Genomic DNA, 26,064 nt, shown 5'->3' with positions numbered 1-26,064 from the left:
ATGTCAATAACTTCAGTTAATATGAAAAATACATTGGTTAATATACTATAATGGACAAAATAAAATGCCTTTACATTTTGTTAAACTTTGTTCAGCCTGAAAATCTGTGCTCATGCTTATTCAACTTCCTGTCTTATCTTAAGCATCCCCAAATTTGCCAATTCAGCATGTGAAAAGCCTTTTAGAGAACAGATTCCCAACAGAGAGAGAGAGGCTGAGTATTTTCCATTTTACTTATACTTTAATTCAAATGGGCCAAGACTGATTTTCATATCTTCAGGAAAGGAGAGAGGAACTATGTTGTGATTGTGTGTGTGTATGTGTGTGTGTGTGTGTGTTGTATTGTGTGATTACACTTCTATGCTGAATTTTGAGACCTCAAAGACTTTCTCATTAATAAAATGTAAGTGTAACAGCCAGAAGGAGTAATGGGAATGAAAGCATTTTAAGCAAATTGTAAAAGGGATGGGGTCGCTGAACTTCACTGACAACTCTTGTCCTGGTTGGCTTCACTGTCCGGTTCCACTGGGTCAGGATGGCATTTCTGGCCCCATCCCACTTCCCTGGTCCCATCAGTCGAAACTGGTATGGGCTGCAAGGGCCAAAGTACACCTCCAGGGCCAGGCGGGGATCTGTCAGGAAGAGCCATGGTATGTTAGGCTTGGCCCCTATGAAAGAGCCCAGCTCATCCACATATGTGATGTAATCTGTCTGCAAAGTCTGGCTCTGGCCAAACATGAAGAAAGAAGAGAACATACTGGAATAAGTGTTACAGTTGCAAATAGGAGCATTAATTTCTTATTTTTTCTTTCAGAAAAATAACATTTTAGATAGCACCTCCATTTATGCCCTCCTTTTCCACAAAATTGAATTTATTGTTTTTTCTTTAGCTAAGTGAGCTGCTTTTCTCCTCCTTCCTAATCTCTATTTGAGTTTGATGTAATGTTGGACTTTTGCCTTTGACCATGTGGCCTGGAGTAAACTGACCCTCTGGTTTAAGGAGACTAATTAACTTAGTTTACTCATTAACACATAATTATTCTTTATAAGACATTGCTTAGAATCTGCCCCAATGTTAGACTTTCAGATTGGTTTGTTTAAAAGTGAGATCATGGATGGTTTTAATACTCCTGTAATCTAATAATATAAATTGTTTCATACTAAAGAAAACAAAAAATATTTTACTGCAAAATATACACTTCGTTGACAGATTTTGAGATGGCTATTCAGAGGGCCTGCAGACAGAAACAGCCCTGAAAAGCTGCCTTTTGTGAAGGAGATTTTTATCTGTGGAGAAAATAAAAGGAAGTAAACAGAAGATGGAAACTAGGCTTTCTCGGAGGCCTCCCTTGCCCACTCTAGGAAAGATTAACTTGCAGGAGAGAGAGACTGAGAGTCAGGCACTGCTGAATGTCTGACAGAGAAACTTTCATCATAGGCTACTGACTCTGAGAGTTGCTTTCTGTGAGGTTTCGTCTGCAGAACAGGACAGCCTTTGTTTGACATACTTTCCTCCCTTTAGTCTCCCATGTCCTGTGATGTTACCTCTGAAATCACCTTTAAAAAAATTGTGACAGTGAAAAAAATGTGAAAAAAAAAATGTAATTACTCCATCTTTCTTCTAATCTCCAAGCTGCCATTATTCATTCCTGAGCATAGGCCAAGCTAACTATGGGAGACATTTAGTTTACAGTTTAACTTTGAAACAAAGATGGTAACAGCCCTTTCCCAAAACAAACCCCCTCCTTGCTTGGAGATCAGACTGCTTTTGTAGAACTAACAAATTAGCCACAAGATAAGAAATTAGGGCTCAGGAGTCATGCAGTCAGAAGTCCCCAATTGCTCCTATGGATAACATCACCATTATAAAACCTACCATTGGTGCTCAAGATATTTTTCAGACCCTGCATTCTGATGGGCCGGCTGGCACTACCCAGACTGGTAAACTGGTTCATCTTGTCATGTGGTCTCCTCCCAGGAAGACCAGAAGACAAGCTTTGACTCCCTATGGTTTCATCCCTGACCCAACCAATCAGCATTCCCCATTCCCTAGCCCCTGACTACCAAACTATCCTTAAAAAAATCTAGCCTCTGAATTTTCATGGAGGCTGATTTGAGTAGTAATAAACTCCTGTCCTTCCGTTTAGCTGGCCAGACCCCAAAAGAGGGTTCTTGGACCTCTCACAAGAAAGAATTCAGGGCCAGTCCATAAAGTGAAAGCGAGTTTATTAAGAAAGTAAAGGAATAAAAGAATGGCTACTTCATAGGCAGAGCAGTGGCATGGGCTGCTCAACTGAGTATACTTATAGTTACTTCTTGATTACATGTTAAACAAGGGGTGGATTATTCATAAGTTTTACAGGAAAGAAATGGGCAGTTCCCAGAACTGAGGGTTCCTCCCCTTTTTAGACTATATAGGGTAACTTCCTGATATTGCCATGGCATTTGTAAACTATCACAGTGCTGGTGGGAGTGTCTTCTAGCATGCTAATTCATTATAATCAGCATATAATGAGTAGTGAGGACGACCAGAGGTCACTTTTTTCATCATCTTGGTTTTGGTGGGTTTTGGCCAGCTTCGTTACTGAATCCTGTTTTATCAGCCAGGTCTTTGTGACCTGAATCTTGTGCTGGCCTCTTTTCTCATCCTGTGACTAAGAATGCCTAACCTCCTGGGAATGCAGCCTAGTGGGTCTCAGCCTCATTTTACCCAGCCCCTATTCAAGATGGAGTCACTCTGGTTCAAATGCCTCTGACAGCTGTGTGTTTATTAAACTCTCTCTATTGGAAAAACCTGCTGTTCTCAGGGCATCAGCTTTTCTGGGCAGTGAGCAAGATGAATCTGTTGGGTGATTACACCTCCCCCAAAGCCCAGAGAAACTTGGTCTAATCTGTGTTCTTTGGACTTATTAATTTCCTCTGAAAAATCATTTACTTTTACACTTCCATCTCCCCTAACCCCAGTGAAGAGAATATTTAAACATGAATGATCTGGCCCTCCTTTGAGTTCATGTTTTGTAAGGCTCTCATGCACACATGTGCACGTAATAAATCTGTCACGTTTTCTCTTGTTAACCTGTCTTTTGTTATAGGGGTGTTGGCCATTACCTTTTATGACAGAGAGAAAAGAGATCACCTCCTTTCCGCCTCTATAGTTCTTTTAGTTGGAATATGGTGTAATTTGCTTTTTGAAACTCTGAAGAGCAGCTTATCATTTAAGCAATAAGATGAACATTTTAACCTCTCTATTTCCTCATTTTTATTTCTACTGGGCTCTAAAGGAAAGGGTATCAAGCTGCATGAATTGTTAGCACATAAAAGTGCCCAACTCTGCAAGTTGTTCGTCAACTGGCTGAAGTTGTGCAGGAGAGGTTTTGTTGAATCTGAGGGTTCCATTTCTTTTCTTCTCTAGGCCCTGAATGGGTGACTACATTGTGGCATTCAATGTGAGAGAAGAAAAATAGCTCAGAGTAGTTTGCACTATGTGAGGTATGCAAAATTTATCAAGCTGAGAGAGCCACGTGTATGGGACTTGTCATGCTGCCCTCTACCAATGCCTGGCGGCAATTGTTAAAAGGCATTTTTATTCCTGACTAGCTGTCTCACTCATCATCTTCATGTTCGTAGAATTTGTGATACGAAGAACAGTATATAGCCAATCAATAGCTTATATAATTTTAATGTAAGTTCTTGGTAAACAACTTAGAAGTTGACTCTTTTGTATTTCCTTTAAAAAACCTACTTGTAACTGCTGCCAACGGAGTGCATATTCAGGGCAATTTGACTCTGTGCTCCTGGGTTGCAGTCCTCAAACTTGGCCCAAATCAATTCTCTTTTTATATTAAATTTGCCTCAGTGTTTTCCTTTAGGTTGACATATCAATGCAATGTTAAATGCTTGAAAAAGTAAAGAAACTTCCTATATCAGTTGACTTTGGAAGAACTGAGGGGTTAGGGGCATTGAGCCCTCTTGCAGTCAAAAATCCATGTATAACTTTTGACTCCCCAAATACTTAACTCTTAATAACCTGTTGACTGGAAGCCTTACCAATAATGCAAACAGTTGATTAACACATATTTTATATGTCATACGTATTAAATACTATTCTTACAATAAAGTAATATGGAGAAAAGAAAATGTTATTAAGAAAATTATGAGGAAGAAAAAATATGTTTACTATTCATTAAGTGGAAGTGGTTTATCATAAATGTCTTCATCCTTATCATCTTTATGTTGAGTAGGCTGAGGAGGAGGAGGAGAAACAGAAGGGGTTGGTCTTGCTGTTTCAGGGGTGGCAGAAGCGGAAGAGATGGAGGAGGTAGAATTGGGGGCAGGAGAGGCAGGCCCATTGGTGTAATTATGGAAATATATTATAATTTCTGTCTGACTTTGCTTTTTTATTTCTCTAAAAATTTTCTATATAGTAGTAATCCTTCCTCTATCATTTGCTTTAGTTTCAGTGCCTGTATCATAGAAGGGTCCATGTTATATAAAAGAAGTCAAAAGAAGTCTTAAATAACTGGAAACTGTCTGCCAGATGATCTAATGTCAATTTATTTCTGGCATGGCTTTTTCTATGTCTTCGTTCTCATCTGGCACTGCTTTGGAAGGACTCATCTCCATCAAATCATCTTTTAGTTCCTCTAGTGTGGAATTAAAAGTGTCTATTAGTGGTGTCTATTAGCTGTTGAATTTCTCCATGATCCATATCTTGAAACCCTTCACCCTCACCTTTTTATTTTGCCATATCCATAATCTTTTTCATGATTTCTGTGACTGGTCTGTTGTAAATCCTCTGAAGTCATATATAACATCTGGACATAGTTTTCTCCAGGAGAAATATGTTGTTTTAGGATTGATGGCTTTCATGGCTTTTTCTATAACAATTAGGGCATCTTCAATGGTATAATCCTTCCAGACTTTCATGATGTTCTCTCTATTGGGTTATCTTCCACAGCATTGACTATCTTTTCCATAGAGTATGGTATGTGATGAGCCTTAAAGGTCCTTATGACTCCCTGATATAAAGGCTGAATTAGAATGTTGTGTTTGGGGGAAATTAGACTACTTCGATGCCTTCCATGTTGAACTCATGGGGTTCTGGGTGGTCAGGGGCATTGTCTATATCAAAAAAACTTTAAAAGGCAGTCTCTTATTGGCAAGGACTTTCTGACTTCAGGGACAAAGCATTGACAGAGCTAATCCAGAAAAAGGGTCTTGTATAACCAAAAGATAGGAAGCTGATATTCATCTTTTCCCTTCAAGGTTTGAGGGGGTAGCTTCATAGGTAGGGGCCATCCTGATCATAAATCTGACTGCATTTGCACAAAACAGTAGTTAGCTTATTCTTTCCTGCCTAATCTTGGTGCTCACTTCTGCTCCTTATTAATAAATGGCCTTTGTGGCTTTTTTTTTTTTTTTTTTTTCCAGAATAGGGCACTTTTGTCTGTGTTAAAAATCTGTTCAGGCAGAAATCCTTTCTCCTCAATGATTTTCATAATGACATCTGGGAATTCATCTCCTTCTTCTTGGTTGGCAGCATGCGTGTCTCCTGTTATCTTGACATTTTTGAAGCCAAACTCTTTCTGATGTAATCAAATCATCCTTTGCTGGCATTAACTTTTCCAGCTCTAGATCCTTCACCTTCCTTTTGCTTTGTCATATAATAACTTCACTTTTTCTCAAATTATATTAGAGTCTATATGTATACTTTCTTATAGCAATCCTGCACCCACATAAAAAGCTGCATTTTCAATCCAAAATAAAAAGATATTTTACAAAAAGTGCAAGATTTCATGCCTGCTGGCATAGTTGCACTGGATTCATTTATCTTGAAATGGTGGGCAACTATAGCTGCAGACCTCAATGTATAGTATACATTAAGCAACTCAATTTTTTTATTATAATGTCATAACTTTTCTCTGCTTCTTGGGAGCACTTCCAACATCATTAATGACACTTCATATGGAGCCCATGGTGTTATTAAAGGCTTAAGGTATTGCACTAAACATGATAAAAATATGTGAGAACCTTGAGAGATCACTTTTTACTGTGAGGCAGAATTTACTGGAGATATGAACTGCTCAGGTGAAAATGACTAATGTCACACAGCATTTTAAGTAGATACTCAAAACACTTGAGCTCACTGCAATACCAACAAGAGGTGACTGCAAAATTATTATACTAGCACATTATGTGCTATATTTTATGCAGTTATGACAATATTGCATCTTTATGTTTGTTTACATTTCTGTTGACTATGAATGGTGCCATGTATAGTCTAAGAGTTTGTATGCATTTAGTTTTGATAAATTTTAATTTTTAATAATAGATTTGTGTATATTTTATGGTAGTAAATGATAAAATAGACTAGTATCTACAAATATTTTATACATGGCATCTTTTTCTTAATTTTTTAAAATATTTCTAGGCTACACAATTCATCTTTGAGGTTTTTTTTTTTTGAGACGGAGTCTCACTCTGTTGCCCAGACTGGAGTGCAGTGGCACAATCTGGGCTCACTGCAAGCTCCGCCTCCTGGGTTCACGCCATTCTCCTGCCTCAGCGTCCCGAGTAGCTGGGACTACAGGCACCCGCCACCACGCCCGGCTAATTTTGGTGTATTTTTAGTAGAGACGGGGTTTCACCATGTTAGCCAGGATGGTCTTGATCTCCTGAACTCATGATCCACCCGCCTCGGCCTCTCGAAGTGCTGGGATTACAGGCGTGAGCCACCGCGCCTGGCCTTGAGTTTTTAAATTGCTGCAAATCTCCAAAAAATTGCATTTTTTTTTTTTTTTTTTTGTGAGATGGAGTCTCACTCTGTCACCTAGGCTAGAGTGCAGTGGCGCGATCTTGGCTCACTGCAACCTCCACCTCCCTGATTCAAGCAATTCCCCTGCCTCAGCCTCCCGAGTAGCTGGGATTACAGGTGCACACCACCACACTCGACTAATTTTTTTTGTATTTTTAGTAGAGACAGGGTTTTACCATGTTGGCCAGACTGGTCTCGAACTCCTGACCTCAGGTAATCCGCCCGCCTCAGCCTCACAAAGTGCTGGGATTACAGGCGTGAGCCACCATGCCCAATCTGCATTATGTTAATTGAAAAAATCCATGTATAAGTGGACCCATATAATTCAAACCTGTGTTGTTCAAAGGTCAACTGTAGTCATTTATAGAGTTGTTTCTTAACCTCAGCACTATTGACATTTTGAGCCAGATAATTGTTTTGGTGAACTGTGCTCTGCATTGTTGGATGGTTAGCAGAATCCCTGTTCTCTACTCATAAGATGCTGATAGCATGCCCTCTCCACTCACAATGACCAAAAGTGTCTCCAGATTTTGCCATATGTCACCTGGAGGGCAAAATTATCCCTGATAGAAAACCTCTATTCTTGAGTTACACAAGAGAAGTGTGATGACTGTTTACTATCTAAACATTTTTTGATTATTGCAAGTGTTCAGAAAATGTAAACTCTGACTAATGACAATATTAAAGCATATTAATGTTTTTCTACACATAAAGGCACATTTTAGGACTTGCTCTATTAGCAAGTACAGTTAGCTGCTTACCACTTGAGTTTTTTCCCCATTTTCTCATCAGTGTCATCCATCATTTCATTCGTGGTTGGCAGGGTACATGAGTCTAGAAAAGAAATGAAGAGAAAAATATTGAAAAACACAAATCAGAAATATATAATGACATATGATGGAAATCATTTGGTTTTTATAAACTGTATTCCTGAAAACTTTTGTATTAAGAGGAGCTGGAGATGTCTTTGATATCTTTAGCAAAATACCAGTTCATAGAAACAAAGATCTGAAAAGTTAATGAACCTTTGGGAATGGCAAAGCTGGCCTGTAGTGAGATAGTGACAGCAGAGACATTTGTAGCTTCAAATCACTCAGTCTCTTATTTCGGTAACATTATAGAGGACCTAATCCTCAACATATGTGCTCAGTACACTTCATGCATATAATAGCTTAATAATTTCTTCCTTTTTTTTCTGTATCCTTTTCCTAAAACTTCTCTGAAGAAAGAATCTGGTAAAACAGTTCCCTTTAAGGTTTCTGCCATTTTAAATGAGGTAATGGAAGGAAGCATAGGATTTTAAACATCTTCTGCAACTATGCAAGGTGTTTTAAGGGGCAGCAGACAAGTTTTAGCTTTTTGTGAATTTCACTACATCAATGCAACTTCTTTTAACTGGTGATGGTAGCTTATTTGCCTTTGTAACAGTGGAAGAAAGTTACTCTAAAATTTGCAGTGCATGAATATTTCCCAGTCATCGTTAGTGTCTTATGTCAACCTGGTAGTACCCTATGATTGATATTGGCTGGACACCCTGCTAGAAAGTAAGAGGCCAGAATTTTGTTCTGCTTCGTTTGTTGTTGTGTCCTAAGTGCCAGGTTAGAGCCTGACACATAGTAGGTGTTCAGTAAGTATTTGCTGAATAAATAAATGATACCATTTGCTTCATGTAAATTTCTTAGGTTTATGAACTATATCCAGTCTTCTCATAATACCCCAGGCTCTTGGCATTGTTGTGCCTTTCGAAGGAAAAAGGCAATAGAAGTATTTTGCAGGGAGCACCTTTACAAAAGATTTCATGATGGGGTTTATTTAAATAATGATCTTTCATGGTGTATTTGAAATAGAAATTTATTTATCTACAAAGTTTTAGACAATATATATACATATATTCCATGATTGTAATGGTTTGTTAATTACCAATAGTGTAAGTTTTTATGGATTAGTTATGTTAGGTAAGTTATACCTATATTGGTCAATATTTTGGAGAATACCTGAATAAAAGAACACTTTTCAATAATAATGATAATATTCAGTATGACTGGAGTAAATTAATATATTTGAGACATTGCCTTTCTCCATGTAATCCTCATATTCTTGATTTCCTCACATAAGCATACTTGTAGCCCCTGGAGACCATGAGGTCTAGAGTAGAGGGAGAGAAGAAGAAGATTGTCATGAGAATCAGAGTGGCCTGACTTTGTTATTCTGACAGAAGTTGACACCAGTGAGGTTTCTGGCACACCTCCAACCCTCACCAGGGCCCTTCCAATCTTTATAATGTAGCCTGACATTGCAGTTATCCTCTGCTATTTTTTTCTTGCTTAAAATCTTGCGAAGTCCTTAATCCCTATGAGAAGTTTAAGCTCTTTAACGTGGCTTATAAACCTATATTTCTTGCCACTCCCTGCCTCTGCTTTATATTCCCTTCCACCAAAATGTTTCTGGGTCCTTACACATTTCATGCTTTCCCTCACCTTTATGACTTCCTGTATACTGTTTGCTCTGTGCAACAGTCCAACTCCCCTCACTAGAACCCCCCCAAATTTCCCCTATTATGGCATCCCCCACACCCCATTTTAAGCCTTGAGAGGTCAAGGAACATGTTTGTCTTGTTCTCATTGTATCCCTAGCACAGTGCTTTGCATATAGCAGGTGTTCAGTAAATGTTCATTGATAAAATGAATGAAAGACAGAATGGCCCACCTACTTGCAAATACTTTAGCAGCCCACCAGGCTTGCAGGTCTGCTGTGGGGATGGCAGCTCCAAGGGACTGAACCAAGCCAATCACAGCCAAGGTTGGCTTCTCCATTAGTGGGGGGAAGATGCCTTTAAACAAGGTAACCTCATTGTTTCTGCTTTTCATGATGGTCTCATCAAGGAAGGGGTAGGAATAATCATAGCCTGTTGCAAAGATGACAGAGTCGATAGCCTCAAACATGGTCCCATCCTCAAACACAGCTGAGGTTTCCGTGAACTCCTTCACACTGGGCTTGATGGACAGAGTGCCACACAGGATGCGGGATGGGAGCTCATCATTGAACACAGGCTCTTTTCTCAGGGAACTACAGCAATGAGAGGCAAACACCCTTGCTGTAAATAGCTCATTTCCAAGAAATACCTGCAACAGCCCATAACATTGAAATAACATCAAGCAGTTAAACATCAGCATGAGTGCCACTGACTCTCTTCTCTCATGGCAATTCCTTTCCTAAATGAGACTAAAACTAATTTATAGACATACTAAAGTGGTTAAGAACGCCAACTCTGGAAGCAGATGGCCCAGGTTCATAACCTAGCTCCATCTCTTACTAGTTGTTACTTTTCTGTATTTGTTTCTTTATGTGTAAAATGGGGATGATGATGGAATCTTCCTCATAGGTTGTTGTGAAAATTAAATGATCAATTATCCTTAAAGCACTTAAAACAGTTCCTGGCACATGCAAGCACTGTTGTTATAAGTGCACTATTATCATAACTTTAACGTCTTGTCTTACATGGAGAAATCAGACTTGCAGTGGTGGGAAGTTTTATTGCCATGTTTGGTTTTCTTTCATCAGCTGTGTCCACAAAAAAGTGTAACAACTTTGATATTGCATTTTAGTTGCCAAAATTCTAGGAATAATATTTTTCAGGACAATATATTTCATTTTGATTTAAGTTTCCTTTGAGATTCCGGAATTTCCTGCAAGTATCTCAGACACAAAGAAACCTTGTAAATCCTGAAATTTGTCTCTATACTTCCACATCATTTTCTGTTTATCTAATCCTGCAACCTCTTCTTTTACCTTACAAGGTAGCAAAACATAGACCACAATGAAACCTGTTTTTCCTCCCCCTTTCTCCCTCCAGAAACTTAGGGTAATTGGAACCCTTTCCAAAAGGAAGCTTAGTTTTCAGAATGAATGAATTTCTAAAACTATGTTTTAATTGTCTAAATGGCAAGGCCAAAATATAATTTATAGTTACTCTTACAAGATAAAAAATCTTAACCAGCTCAAGCTATGGGACTTACTATATTAAACATAATTTTTAAAAACTTTTATTTTAGGTTTGGGGGTCCATGGTTTGTTATATAAGTAAATTGTGTGTCACAGGGGTTTGGTGTATAGATAATTTTGTCGCCTGGGTAATAAGCATAGTACCTGATAAGTATTTTTTTCTGATTCTCTTCCTCCTCCCACCCTCTACTGTCAAGCAAGCCCCAGTGTTAAACATAATTTTAAATGCATAAAATCAACATATTTTAAAGGGTTATAGCAGCCTGCAAGACTTGGTAGTATAAGTGCTTTGGACTGACAGTTTAGCTCCTAAATCTGGCATTTGCTCTTTTGATTTACAGTTCCTCCTTTTTCTTACCATCTTTCTCTAAACACAATGAAACTTTTTGGCTAGCATGGGCCAGGAGATAAAATTTCTCAATTCTTTCTTTTCTTACCAACTTAAATATTCTTTTTTTCTATTGATATGCTGATTCTTCTACCTGGAATGACTTCCTAATTAGTAAATGTTGGGCCCTGTCTCTATAAAGAAGTAAATAAATGAATCTGACTAATCTTACAGGCCACGTTAGTTGTGACTCTCCATTACTTTATGTGTTCCATGCCTCCTGATGGTTCTGCAAAAATGTCAACATTTCAGGGGTGGAGGAAGTGTGCACTTTTGTTTTGAGACTTCCTACTTGCTGAGACATGTTGATTAACACTATTTTGTTATTTGCTCCTTTGAAGCACATTAGAAAAATTGAGACTAAGAAGAACCAATTTTTTTAAAGCTTTATCATTTAGAAAGCAATTTTTATATTTTTATATTATTGAATACCACAACCATCTTGAGAAGCAAGTATTATTATTGATGTCTTCATACACCCATAAGCACGGACAAGATATTCTTCCAAAAACCAATTTGAGTTTCTTCAGTCCTCAAAGTTCTATGCTATAGCTTGTAGCCACCACAAATGCATCATGCATGTCAGGGTGATTTATCTGCCTGCGTCATCTCCATTTCAGATTTTTCCATACCCTTTCTGTACTGGACTAATTTCAATAAGTTTTCCAAGCCATACGTGGTCTCTGGGCATATTCCGTCACCTATGAAACCTTGAGTTTAATGTTTCTAGGCTCAATGAGACAACAAAAGTAAGTTCTAGAGAGAATAAATTCATTAAATGAGTGCCCCCCTTTTTTGAATAAAAAAAATTTCCATTTTTAAGTACCCATTTAAAGGCATCAGGCCATAGTTCTCATGCTTAAACCACGTGTTCATCTTCTGGACATATAACCAGTCAGAGATGAATGAAGGAAGGACATTCCGGAGAAAGGATGCAAAGCGGGTAACATACATCATATCCCAAGGATAGCCATCATCCCAGACCCGACTCATGACCCAGGAAGCACTTCTGGTACTGATAATGACCTGGTGGGGAAAAGCAACACAGATTTCAGCATTACTCTGTAAGAAATAAGCAAACACAACACACTTCTTTGGGCACTTCCGTGCATTTTCCTCAATATCCAAGTAGGAACACTTTTAAAAGGCGAGTCTAAATAAGTTGTCTAGCAGCCATAAAAAAGAATGAGTTCATGTCCTTTGCAGGGACATGGATGAAGCTGGAAACCATCATCCTCAGCAAACTAACACAGGAACAGAAAACCGAACACTGCATGTTCTCACTCATAAGCAGGAGTTGAATCATGAGAACACATGGACACAGGAAGGGGAACAACACACACCAAGGCCTGTCGGGGGGATGGAGGGCTAGGGGAGGGAGAGCATTAAGACAAATACCTAATGCATGTGGGGCTTAAAATCTAGATGAAGGGTTGATAGGTGCAGCAAACCACCATGGCATGTGCAGACCTATGCATGTTCTGTACATGTATCCCAGAACTTAAAATAAAAAAAAATTTTTTTAAAGTCTAAAATTTAAACTAGTAGAGACAGGATTCTTTCACTGCCCCTGAGGGCTGGTGTGTAGTTGTTGAAAGGATTAGAATCATACCTCTAGGAACAACAGGGCTCTGTGTTCAACTGTGATGGTTTAATCTTCACATACTCATAGACTAAGATGGCAAGTCTGGTAGGGACCAGATGATCCAGTGAGCCCCAGTGGTTGTGGCTGGTGATAGTGGACTAGGTGTGGGAAAAGTGTAGCTAAATCTCTAGCTGAAATTAGGCTGACGAGATGTCAAGGATTTAATTCTGTTCTCTGTCTCTGGTTGCCTTTTCCAGTTCTCCCTATACACATACCCCAAGGACTTCTCCTGAGCAACCCAAACCATGGCAACCGCCTCAGCCCTGAGATGAGTCTGGCTGCTTATCTATTTTACCGTCTTTGCAAAATAGACTTTAACTTTGTGATAACTGAAGGGAATTTTTAGTTTAAAAAATTTAGGTTTTATTTACATCCATTTAAGAATTTATTTATTGAGAACCTGTTTTCTTAAAAATATGTTGTTTCTTTAGGGTCTATCGATGATACATGATTTAGCTTGGAGTCCTCTGGGAAGTCTTCCTTGACCTCATCCAGGCTAAGTTAGATTCTCTTTTCCCTGTGTTGCTATTGCCACACCTAATTCTACTGGAAGACTCACCATCTCCTCTGGTGATAGTCTGTGTGTACCTGTCAACTCCATCTCCATCCATTGACTCTTTCTTGAAGTCAGGAACTAGTCTAACTTATTTATGCATTTATTTTTAGTTTATCATAGTTCTGACACATAGTAAGCATAGTAAGTGCCCAATATTTGTTGAGCATCTGCTGTTGATTGAATTAATGTTAGTAAATACCAAGTCATGCATATCTTTCAGAACTTCAGAGTGGTAAACACAGTGCTTTTTGCATGATACGTTATAATAAATACTGTTAAATAAATAAAGATTAAGCCTGACCAGGAACTAGTCTATTTGGAGGTGATCAGAATATAAAATGAAAACAAGAAATACACACATACACACTCATCTGTACATACACGCACTCATGCACTTACTTCTGGATTCAGTGGAATGTACTTCCTTACTAGCACGGGCCACATTACCTGGCTTCACATGGAGGATGTCTCAAGTCCTCCTTGATTTGAAGGGCCACATAGAAGAGGTGGATCTCTTGTGGTGTGACATAGAAGTACCATCCTCTGTGCCTTGGCTACTGATTTAGTAGCACAGCCCTACCTTAGGTTTATTTCCCAAAACCTTTACGTCATGTACCTGTGTAGCCAGACGGCTGAGCTCAACAGCAATGTCAGATCCCGAATTCCCCAGACCAATCACGAGGACCCTCTTCCCCTTGAAGGCTTCTGGATTCTTATAATCCCGGCTATGGAGGTAGTTGCCTCGAAACTGGTCCAGGCCTAAGTGGAACATGGCAAGTTGTTTGAACTGATTTTCAGAAATTATGAAGATGTTTTCTTTGTGTCTTTTTAAACCTATTATCAGTTGTAATTAAAAAATTCCCTAGTTGAAGTGCATTTATCCATTTAGCATTTTTTGACATTAAGCCCCCTAAAACTTACTTTTAGTTCCTTAAAAAATCTTAAGGCATGAGAATGTATGTTTCGATAATAATAATGGTTAATATTTATTAAGTTAACTCTGTGGGCTAGATCCTCTGATAAATGCTTTACACGTTTTAACTATTTAATCTTGATAACATCCCTGCATGGTGGGCTATTGTCCCTATTTTAAAAGAAGAGGAAATTGAGACAAAGAAGGTAAGTGGTAAGGAACTAGTGGAATAGTAAGTTGAGGCCAGGTGTTCTGATCCCATGCTCATAAACATTAAATATGCTGCCCGTTAACATTAAGAGTTTTAATCTTATATTCCTCCTGAACCTTCACTCTTTAATTTTCCTCGGCCTATGGACATCATACCTAGACATGGAAACTCTAATATCTTTGAGTAGATTGTGTTCCTGTGGCAAGGAAGGAAGGAAAAATGGAAGGAAGCCTCCATGTATATTGTATTTATTTGAGGTTTGCCACTTTCGGATGGTAATGAAGTATGCTGCTATACACACACCCATGTGTGTACCCACACACAAATCACTGAGATTTCTAAAGTTTATTTGCAAATTGTGGATGAAGATGAAATTAGAAACCTAGGAGTCTCCTATAAATAACATAAGTAAACGTGTCTTTCTTTAAACCATTTGGCAGTTGGACTCTACTTTTTTTTAATGTAACTGTGCTCGGAGACCCCGTGTGCTGTTAGAACTTATATTTGAGTTACTGTCTGTAAAACAGGAACTTGTGTTTGTCTGATCTCTGGCTTGCAGTCCTTGATTATTTTAACATAAGGACTTATGAGGCTATTTATTACTATATCCTATCATTAAACTTAATTTTTTTCTTTTGAAATCTAAGAATAATCATTATGTAATACCTATAGAAAGATATGTTTCTAACTCTTGATGTTTGCATATAAGTCCCTAGATTATTATATATTTTCCAAACTTACCAGGAAAGGAATCCGTTGGCAGATTGGGGTATACGTGATGTCCTGAACAAATCATTACAGCATCAAAAATAGTAGATTCCTGTTTCCCATCCTTTTCAGTAACAACAACCCATTGGCCCGTGACTAAGAAGCTGGGACATTTCTTTATACCGGAAACCAGGGTCTTTAAGAAAACTAGAAAATTTATTTTTCCATTTATAATTCTACATGTGAAAGTTTTTTTCCTTCTTGCCTTGTTTCTGTGGAGGAAATAATTGTTACGAGCTCTCTTGGTCATTCAGAAATGTATAGAAAGATAGTAAAATTGGAGTCACAGTGAATCTTCAGTGAGTCTTTGAATCTCACAAGAAAAATTACTCACTGGAGTACATTTACTTTTTGACATCAAGTTAGTTGATTTAGGGGTAAATCACACTGAATATTTTTGTGAATGATGTCATATAACAAATCTGTGTTATTTTCTTATGGCTACCCTCTACTGACATGGCTTCCTCCTTTTCTGACCTCATCTTCCATCTACTCAATAAGTATGGGAATATCTCAAGGTTTGATCGTTGGCATCTCTTTTGCTCTGCATAAATACTCTTATCTTAGAAATATAGCAACTTTACGGCCAGGCGCGGTGGCTTATGCCTGTAATCCCAGCACTTTGGGAGGCCGAGGCGGGTGGATGACGAGGTCAGGAGATCAAGACCATCCTGGCTAGCATGGTGAAACCCCGTCTCTACTAAAAATACAAAAAATTAGCCGGGCGTGGTGGCGGGCGCCTGTAGTCCCAGCTACTCAGGAGGCTGAGGCAGGAGAATGGTGTGAACCCGGGAGGCGGAGGTTGCAGTGAGCCGAGATTGCGCCACTGCACTCCAGCCTGGGCGACAGAGCGAGACTCCGTCTCAAAAAAAAAAAAAAAAAATTAGCAAGTTTTGTGGTATGAATATACAAATACATCTATCCTTGGTCTCTCTTCTATCCAGTTTAGCTTGACCTTTCCATCTGGAGGGCCACCTAATACTTCCTCATATGTAGCAGGTTTTGATTGACCTACTTAAATTTCCTTTGAAACTGGCTTCTGACTTTCTTATTTCTTTGAATGATGACATGAAACTCCCAGCCACTTATGCTTCAAATCCATGACTTGTTTTCCTTGTTATTTCTCCATCCTTGCCTCATGTTTAAACAGTATTTATCTCCCAATCTCACGCTTTCTTTCCATGATTGCTAACACTGCCTTCATTCAAGTCCTTATCACTCCCTTGCATGGACTACGGCAAGAACCTATACCTAGCCTGTCTTCAGCCTCCCATTTCCTACAAGCCATCCTTTGTCCTGCTTGTCAGATTAATCTTCCTGAAGGACTATATTCATTTCTCAATTTCTCTGCTCAATTCACTGCTCAATTTCTGTTACTTCACAGCCTCTAAAACTTATTCTACATTTTGAATGCGATTACTATTAAGTCCATACAATTTTGTTCCAATTTACTCTTTTAGTTTTATTTTCTGTTATTCCCACAGACTTTTCTGGAACATATTCTGCAAATTGCTTCCCTAATGTCCATTCTCCCTTCATTCTTACTAACAGAACCCTGATTTTGTTTGGAGCGACAACATACACAGAAAAGGGATGCATTTTCCAGGTTCCTGTGCAACTAGGGTGGCCTGTGAGATATAAGCAATGTTGGACAGTTTTTTCAGGAGAATTTGTAAAAGGGGAGCTGATTCAGCTGAGAGAACATCCCTTTGCCCTTCATTCTTTACTTTTTTTTTTTTTTTTGCCTAGAAGGCAGATGTGACGGCTCAAGCTTCAGCAACTGTTTTGCACCACAAGGCAAACGTCATGATGTAGGCCACGTGCTAAGATGGGTGAAGCTGAATCTTTGATAACTTTGGTGCCATCACATAAGCTCTGGATGTCCCTTCTTTGGACTTCTTTTACATGGTTGCAAAATAATCCTCTATTTTTCAAAGTCACAGTACACACTAGTTTACTGATATATGTGGCCATATCTCATCCTAGCATATATATCTCCCTCCTAACCAACTTGGTTTGCCCACTGTTCTCCAAATGAGCAGGGCATTTTCCCACCTCTCTAATTTTACTCATGCCACTCATTTATCTAAAACACCTACTAAATACAACTAAATTTTACCTCCTCTAGAAAATACCTTCCCCCAAAGTGTTGCCTCTTGCTTCATGATCTCCATAGCATTGTTTTATTTATAAACAAATCATAAAGAGCTTTAAAAAATTTTCTCTTTGATTGAAATTGTTACTGGAATCTTTTTACTTACTCTTTACATATTTATTTTGAAATAACTTCTTGAGAGCTAAGTCTTAGACCTCTTTTTCTTTTACATATAACACATAGCACAATGCAAGCACACAATAGGAACTTCATTAATGTTTGTTGATATTAACACCATAATGGAAGCAAATGAATGTAATGAATGAATGGAATAAAATGACTATTGGAAAATTTTATTTTAACTATACATTTGGGGCTACTCCAGGTAAAATAATGATGTAAATATCACCATGGTTCATAATTTTGCTGATTGTTTTTCCCACTATATGCAAGTGTTCTGCATTTAGCAGCAGTTAATTGAGGTTAAGAGTTCCAAACATACAGACAGAAATGCTCAATAAAGAGTCCCAAATAAATGTAAAACATTATTCTCGCAGAAACAATGCTGAAATCTCACCTTTTTAATAAAAAAACTAATGAACTGAGTGGGTAAAGATGGGGGCAATGACTATATTTCCCATTTAAGTTGTTAACCTTTTCATAATGTAATGGGAGAAACCCTACCAAATGCTCTGGTTTTTTGAACCACAACTCATTGGCATTGAACTGACAAAATTCCTAATATATACTAAAGCATTTTGGATTATTTCCAAAACATCAGAGCATGAGGGTGGAAAGTGGACAATGATGGGCTAGCTGCCTCCATTTTCTAAGGTAGTCTGAAAGCTCTCAGAGACTAGTGAACTAGTAAGTCTAGGAGAGAAAAAATCAATGCATGAATGCTTTATAATCAGAGCCAACATTTGATTACTGAGGTGCCCAAACATTTGGCTCTAATTTTTATAATAGTTTGCTGCCTCCTTTTTCTCTAACCCACACATATCTTAATTTCAACAGTACAAGTTATGAGACCCCTACCTCAAACTGTATGTATCTTAAAAGATCCTTCTTTTGAGCATATGTCTTTATATATTCCTGGAGCTTGCTGTGGTGTATATAGTTTGGGTAATCATCCGGATAAGGGAAGTCTGGAAAGCACATCATTTCTTTGGAAGAGTTTGTGAATACAGACTGGTAAATGCTGGCTCTGCCTTCTTCTGTGTGGTCCTAGGGAGAATAAGAAAGCTTAAAGAGAAAGCCAAGAATTGTGTTCCCTTCAGTGAACACAGTGGTTCAATTCTTGGTTGACTAAAACCCTTTTCATGTTTAAAAGCGTAAACAAAAATTAAAAGCTCTCAGTAAGATAAGGAATGGAAAGCCCTTCGCGTAGCACCTGGCACAGAACTGGAGCTCTTTCCATGTGAATCCTCTTACTGTAATTACCCTCAGTGTTAGCTCTGTCTTTATAGCCACTTAGTGGTTTTTGCTTTCTCCTGTGCCACCACTGGTTCTGATCTTATACTCAGGTTAAAAAAAAAACAAAAAACAAAACTGTCTAGAAGAGGCTCTGACTTCTAGCCTATTTATTTGCTTTTGGAGTTTAGCAAACTCTTCACTGGCAACAACCCAATATTGCAGTGGTTTCCCAGCTTTGGCGTAATGAGAATCGCCTGGAAGCTCCCTAGACCGTAGATTCTTGGGCCCTATTCTTAGAATTTCGGATTCAATCTGTCTGGGGTGGAGTCTGGGGTGGTTTGCATTTCTATCAAGTTCCTGGTGATGCTGATGTGGCTGGTTTAGGAACCACACTTTGAGAACCACTGCTCTGTTGTAAATGAATCCTATTCTTTGGCTCACCAGTTGCTGGACTTCACTCCTCACCAAAGAAACACAGGAAACCAGAGCCCTTAGAACATGTGTTAAATCTTGGCACTTCATTTTAAAGCCTCTGTGTAATTGAAAAGTGGCTTATTTTTTAGAAGCAGTCAAAAGCTAAATTGAAAATAAACATTTCCTCTCAGTTGTGAGGGTAGGGTAAAAGTGCACACAATGTGCTGCCTTGAAAATACATTTCAGAGCTGGCAGCTTCTGCTTCCCGAGGTCCGGAAGGACTCTTGTGCAATGGGGGGAAAGAGATGGAATGTCACGTTGCTGCTGGATTCAAGATGTGTCTCTCCCTCTCACACCAGATGACCTCTGGAAGAGGGAAACAAAAAGTGCTGGAAAGGGTTGAGAGGATTGTGTCCCCGTGGGGAAGTGGGGGGCTGCCCAAAGCCTCAGTATTTTTTCTCAAGTTGAAAACATAATCTTCCTCTATTCATGGTTGCTGTATTTCTCATAAGCGTGGAAGCACAGGAATTTAAACTTTTTAAAATTTTTGTGGAGGTCAGAAAAAGGGTGAAGGCTCATGTCCAGCAGTTTGGCAGGCTGAGTGCTTCCCTTTCACCCACAGCTAGCGCCTTCTACTGATGGTTGTGAGAAGAAGGAGAGGTGGGAAGGAGGTTTTTTCAGCTGCCTGTTGAAAGGAGGCAGGGCTGAACTGTGGGATGGAGCCTGGTTAAAGAATGTAAGACTCTGTTCTGGGAAACAGATGCTAAGGCCTTGGAATATTTCCATCTTGAATGAATCTCTGCTTTTTTGCCCCTTGACCTCAGCCAATTATAACACCAGGAGAGAAGAGTATGTACACTACAGCTCCTTGGAATTTTTCCGAAAAGACTGTTCTCCAAACAAACACAAAAAAGCAAATGTATTAGATAACAAGTCAGTTGCTCCAGGGAGCATGCATTTTTATTATTTCAATATGAGGTGTGGTTTGAGCCAGTAAGGAGGAAATTCAACTTTGACTCTGCCTCTAGCTGAGGGAGCTTTACCCTGGAACCAGAGATCTAAGCAGCTGTGGGCACCATCTGTCTTGGATGATAACCGTGTTCATCTCTCATCTTTCCCACGAGAACATAAGTAACTTGAGGGCAAAGTCAGAGGTTAATTTCAGAATGTTGTACATGCATCTAAGCAGTTTACCTTGATCTTCTTTCCTATTCCAGCTCTGCTTATGAGTCCCATATCTCCTTGTCTAAATATGCCCTTGAAATATGCTCAAAAGTTGCCTTCAACTTTGTCATGGCTTTCTTTACCTTCCCTCTCAGCTACTGCCAAATCATCTTTAGTTTTACTAAGGTCCCATTATCCTTATTGCCCTAATTATATAGTCACTTATAGTTATTCTGATACTTGTTTTCTCACGGCTTTTAAAGTGCTGGCTGGCCTCTTATCTGCAGCTTATGCTTAATATAGTACCCTACACATAAAGTACACAGTATGTATTCATTGAATGAACAAAGGAATAAATGAGTGGGAAAAAGTTCAAATAGTCCTGGCTTCAGCTTTTGCAATCAAAATGCTACTAACCTATTGGTAAGCATTTTTTTTTTTTTTAATGGAGTCTTTCTCTATTGCCCAGGCTGGAGTGCAGTGGCATAATCTGAGGTCACTGCAACCTCTGCCTCCTGGGTTCAAGAGATTCTCCTGCCTCAGCCTCCTGAGTAGCTGGGATTACAGGCACCCACCACCACACCTGGCTAATTTTTGTGTTTTTAGTAGAGATGGGGTTTTTCTGTGTTGGCCAGGCTGATCTTGAACTCCTGACCTCTCGTGATCCACCCGCTTTGGCCTCCCAAAGTGCTGGGATTATAGGCATGAGCCACCGCACCTGGCTGTTGAGCAACTTCTTATTACAGCAGTAATGAAATCTTTTGAGGACACGAGGCCCTATTTAGGAGTGGATGAAACTTAAAACACACATTCAGCCTGCTAGTATTTAAATCCCATTTGGTTTTCATTTCTCAGAAAAAGCAAATAGTGAAAAGTTCAGAATTACCACGTTTCTGTCTGCTAGAACACCTTCTAAAAAAGGCTTACAAGATAAAGTCTTATGTAACACATAAAAAAAATCCCTCTCTGATTATATATTGTGCCAAGCAACTTTTCTAAGAAAAGAAGGAAGGGCTGGGGTATGTGGAGGAGGCTAAAGTTTTGAGTATTTGTATGGGTCCATATCCTCACCAGGACTTTGAGTAGAATTTTGCTTATAGACATGACCTTATGGAAAAGAAGAATTTCCTCTTGTGGATAACTCAGAATCCAACTTTGAATCTTACTGATCTTTGTATCATATTATTGCTTCCTTAAGTAAACTTTCTGATCTGGCTATATTGGATAACTCATGGATCCCTCTCTGCACACACCATGTTCATTGCCTTTTCTGTGCCTTTCATGGATTGTTGGTCTCTCTTAACCTGGTGCTGGCACACTGCCAATGACTGCATAGGCCTATGGAGTGCCATTCGCAGACTTTATTGGGAAATGCACTCTCTAGGAGTTGTGTCACAGGTGGTCCTCTATTTTGCTTGTCTGGGGTTATCCTTCAAGGCTAAGTGTCATCCCTGTGGGAGGTTTTCTTTGACCTACTAAGATTTCCGTAGTCCACCCTCTTCTAAACGCTCGAGGCACTCGTCCATTGAATTGATGGTGACAAGGTCTATCTTGTTGTTGTAGTTATATAATCTCTTATTTTAAAAGTCTTAGGGCCAGATATATTTTGGAATGTGTACATTTTTGGATTTTGCTCCATAATACTCCTAGTGAGATCTGGGGCAGCAATCTGTCAAATGCAATAAAATTTCTGCCGTGCAACAGAAGGTGAGACTTAGCTTCATGTTGATCCAATTCACGGTATTTAACCTTACGATTTCAGAAGAGGTTCGGCTATCAAATGAGTTTTTGCCCATTTGCTATCAAAGGATTACGGAATTATATTATGGCTTGCTTAATCAAATGAAATGGAACCATTTACAAGGAGTGATTATATTCCATATTTGTCATCCCAGTACTTAGCACAAACTACCAGAATAGATGCTCAAGCATCATTTAATTGTTACTAGGGAGATGGTAGAAAGCCATTTTATGATTTACTCTAAGCTGTCCACATTTCCCTGAGCAAATGTAAATAGGGAAAATTAAATTCTTGAAAAATATTAACTCTTGATTACCCCCTACTGGGAAATAAAAATTAATGACCTTATATCTCATGGAGTGCTTTCAGGGTTACAAAACCACAAATTTTTTTAAAAAAAGCTTGGAGAAGAATAAAAATGTGTTCTAAGTTAGCACTGATATACTCTATTGGAGGAGGCTATTGGCGCAGGCAGAGCAGTAACTGAGACCAGGACAGGAAGTAGTTACAATATGAATGATGTGAATATGTTTTCAAGCCAAATATGTATCATCGACAACTGATTACAATGGCTGGGAAATCCAGGACAGAAGAACTAGAAGTTTCTCCAAACTTGGCTTTGAAATTAAAAAAAAAAATGTGTTTACAAGGACTATTTCCTAATTATATTATTTCTACAATGAGCCCAAATGGCAAAGACCATAATTTTTCCCTCTGGATTTGGAGCTGATAGGCTATTCAACAGCCGCACACACAATCATCATCTATAATAATTTCTATCTGCCCAATAGACATAAGTTAATTATAGAATCATATCCTCTGCATTTGACAAATGAGCATTTGAGGTCCAGGGAAACAAAAGCAACTGGACTGAAATCTTATCTGCCTAGAAAACCTACAAGTTGAAATTAGAACTCAGGACTTCTGACCTCAGGATCTCAGTCCAGGTTTGTTTGTCTCTTTTCTAGTCGTGTTCCTGGCATTTAAGAGCAATAAAGAATAGAATTGTTTCACTTACCTGGGAAGCCCATGGTATATTTTTGACTAATTACCAACATTAGTGCCCTTTACAGCTTGGAGATCTGGATTTCACCATGCAGGTGATGATGTTTAATGAGCTGAAAATGTCCTTTTCAGGACAAATTTTGCTGGTATGAAATAGTTTTTTTGGGCATTAGTATGATTGGAGAGGTAAGATTTTACTTTCCAGATTTGGAGCTTTTGTGATCTGCCTTCTAAATCTGAATTAGAACTGATCAGATTTGATTTGCATTGGAATCCATCTCCTTCCACTGGTGTTCTAATGATGTGCCACTCACTGAGAATTTCCACAGGCCTCCAACATCATCGCTCCTTTCAAAGCAAGTGGGCTCCAGCCCCTCCTCCAGACAGCACCATATGGCAGCCAAGCCACTGACTCCAGCTCCGATGATGCCAACCCTCTTGCTCATGATTGCCTGTAGCAGAGTCTGGAGAGAACATCTTCAGAAGAGTGTCTTTAATACTTACGATTTTTTTCAGTAGAAATTATCAGCCAAGGTTTATGTATCAGGATCCTCACTCAAACATAAGAAGACATAGATGCACATTGATAGTATATGCTCATTATTTTTACCACTTTTGCTATAATAAGATTCTAAAACTGGCTGCTTCTGATTATTCAATATGTCAAAAATAGCAGATTCAGTGAATGCTAGAGCAGGAAGGACCTTGAAGATCATCAATCCAATGCTCTCAATTGCAGATGACGCTTTGGTATGCTGAGACTAGAAACTACTTCTTCAAGGTCTCAGAGGTAACAAATAAAGGAATTGGAACTAGACATCCAGCCTGCTGCATGATATCCTCTGTACAGAATCACTCCTCATTTTGAATGCTCTAAGGGACTTCACCTCTTAAGCAATCACCTTTCTCTCCCCAGAGAATCAGCAGTTCTCGAAATGTGGAAGAGAATGGCATTTAACAATGTCTTTTGATGTGAAAACTGGGGAAGGGGGAGGAGTTATTCTTAAAGTAAAATTCCTTTTTTTTCTTGTATTTTTAATGGTATAGAGCCATAGTAAAATCTGAAAGAGAAGGACTGAGTGTGGTAAGGATAAGAGAAGAACAGGGGAGGCATGGGTGAAGTAAAAAGAAAGGGGTAGGAAAAAGGCAAGAATGAAGTCTTTGGTTCTTGTTACAAAAAATATAAAACAGTGACTGCCATGGCCACTGGAGCTGTAAGGTGAAACTCCTGGGAGATTAGGGGAACAATGATTCTTTCATTTATGTTTGCTTTGGAAATATAGAATATATAAACAAAGGCTATGCACCTGGACTATAATGAAACGTTTTGTTGTGCCAACAGTGAAAAGTAGCTCAAATTTCTGGAAACTTAGGGCCTGATCTGAGTTGCTGAACTAACGCTTATAGATGAGCTTGTAAAACTAGTGAACTCAAAAGACAGAATTGTGGTCTCTGAACCTTGTCTCTGGCTCCCTCCGGCTTCTATACCTGTCCTTTCTGCTTCTGTTTCCCTCCTTTCCTTCCTCTGGCCATTCCTTTCACTGTACTGACAGCCTACTATATGTCATGCATTATAATAGTCTTTTGGGGGATTCAAAGGTGAGAAGACACAGTGCTTTCCATCTGGAACCATGAAGTCTAGTGTTGAGGGAGATGATAAATGTCACAGTGGAAGTATGGTTCAGTGTAGTGCTAGCATGTAGGAAGAAAAATCTAGGTCCACTTGGAGGAGGAAAGAGAGGCTTCAAGGAGTGTGAGAAGACAGCTGAGTCTTGAAGGAAGAATAGATGTTTTCCAGACAGATAAGGGACAAGAAATAGAAAAAAGGCAGAGAGAAAAATATGTGAAAATGCATAGAAAAGTAAGAACACGTGATGGGGGAACTACAATTAGTTCAGTTTTGCTGGACCATAAGTGATGGGAATAGCAAAATATGGGTTAAACATGCAGGACATAGGTTATGAAGGATACTGAAGTGCCACAATCACAGGTTTGGATACTACCTTCTGGATTACGGTTGTCCATTCGAGAATTTTGAACAAGGAAGTGACAACATCAGACAAGATCAGATTCACCTGGAGGCTAGAGAGGATGGTGACTAGAATCAAGGAGACCAAAAACCCAGGATGTTATTTCAACAATCTAGGCCAGAGAGACTGAGGACTTAAATTAGAGTAGCATTAGAGGAATGGATAATGGAGACAGGATATATGAGATATTCAGGAATTAGATGTTTGGGGACCTGCTGACTGATTATATGCTTAATGCCTCAGCAAAAGTACTTCTGTTTTTAAGATTTCATATTATGATTTATATGCATATGCTCATGATTTAGTGCAGGAGATAAAAAACACTATATATCATGAAGAAAGGTATATACTACAGGGAATTAGGTGCTTGCAAAAGGTCAAAGAGCTGAAAGAGCAGGAACTAGGAGGTTGCTGCAGGACTGGAGAGGTCACACCACTAGAGCTACTATCCAGAGGGCAGGAAACTGCTTCAATCACCACAGATGCCTGCAACATACAAATTGGGGGGCTAAAAGGTGGAACATGGAGTTCAGCTGATATAAGCACACCTGTTGGAATACATTTGCCCATCAGCATTGTCACGAAAATTTAGCTTTTGCTTCCCTTTGCCTTCTGAGCCTAGATGTCTGTCTCACTGGCAAAACTAATTGCATCCAATCCCTAACTGCAAGAGAGTCTTAGAAATGTGGTTTTTTAGCTTTCCAATTCTTGTAATACGTATGATATTAAATGAAAGCCAGTTCTGTCTTCTTATAAATTTTAAAAATATTCATACTGTTATCTAATATTATAGTTAAAAACTCAGTGATTCATCTCTTTGGCTGTATATTTTGGGATAATTCTTGCAGGAATTTAGATCCTTCCCCTGTAAGATAAGCAAATTGGATTAAGTAATTACTAAT

The 26,064-nt window shown here is 38.9% G+C and overlaps 1 long non-coding RNA gene and 1 pseudogene across 3 annotated transcripts in view; one reads left to right on the top strand and one right to left on the bottom strand.

Annotated features, from left to right (window-relative positions):
- Window positions 1–26,064, top strand: part of FMO1-AS1 (FMO1 antisense RNA 1) — a 131,518-nt gene that overhangs the window by 90,100 nt on the left and 15,354 nt on the right. The gene's annotated exons all lie outside the window — the stretch shown is intronic.
- Window positions 227–24,050, bottom strand: FMO6P (flavin containing dimethylaniline monoxygenase 6, pseudogene; annotated as a pseudogene). The gene is made up of 7 exons (NR_002601.1): window positions 23,146–24,050; window positions 15,271–15,312; window positions 14,022–14,164; window positions 12,031–12,230; window positions 9,525–9,880; window positions 7,576–7,648; window positions 227–632 (listed from the first exon to the last, which is right to left on the bottom strand). The product of NR_002601.1 is annotated as a flavin containing dimethylaniline monoxygenase 6, pseudogene (transcript).

Source organism: Homo sapiens, chromosome 1 (genome assembly GCF_000001405.40).
Source record: "Homo sapiens chromosome 1, GRCh38.p14 Primary Assembly".
Lineage (NCBI taxonomy): Eukaryota > Metazoa > Chordata > Mammalia > Primates > Hominidae > Homo > Homo sapiens.
This window is presented reverse-complemented; position numbering and strand designations above follow the sequence as displayed.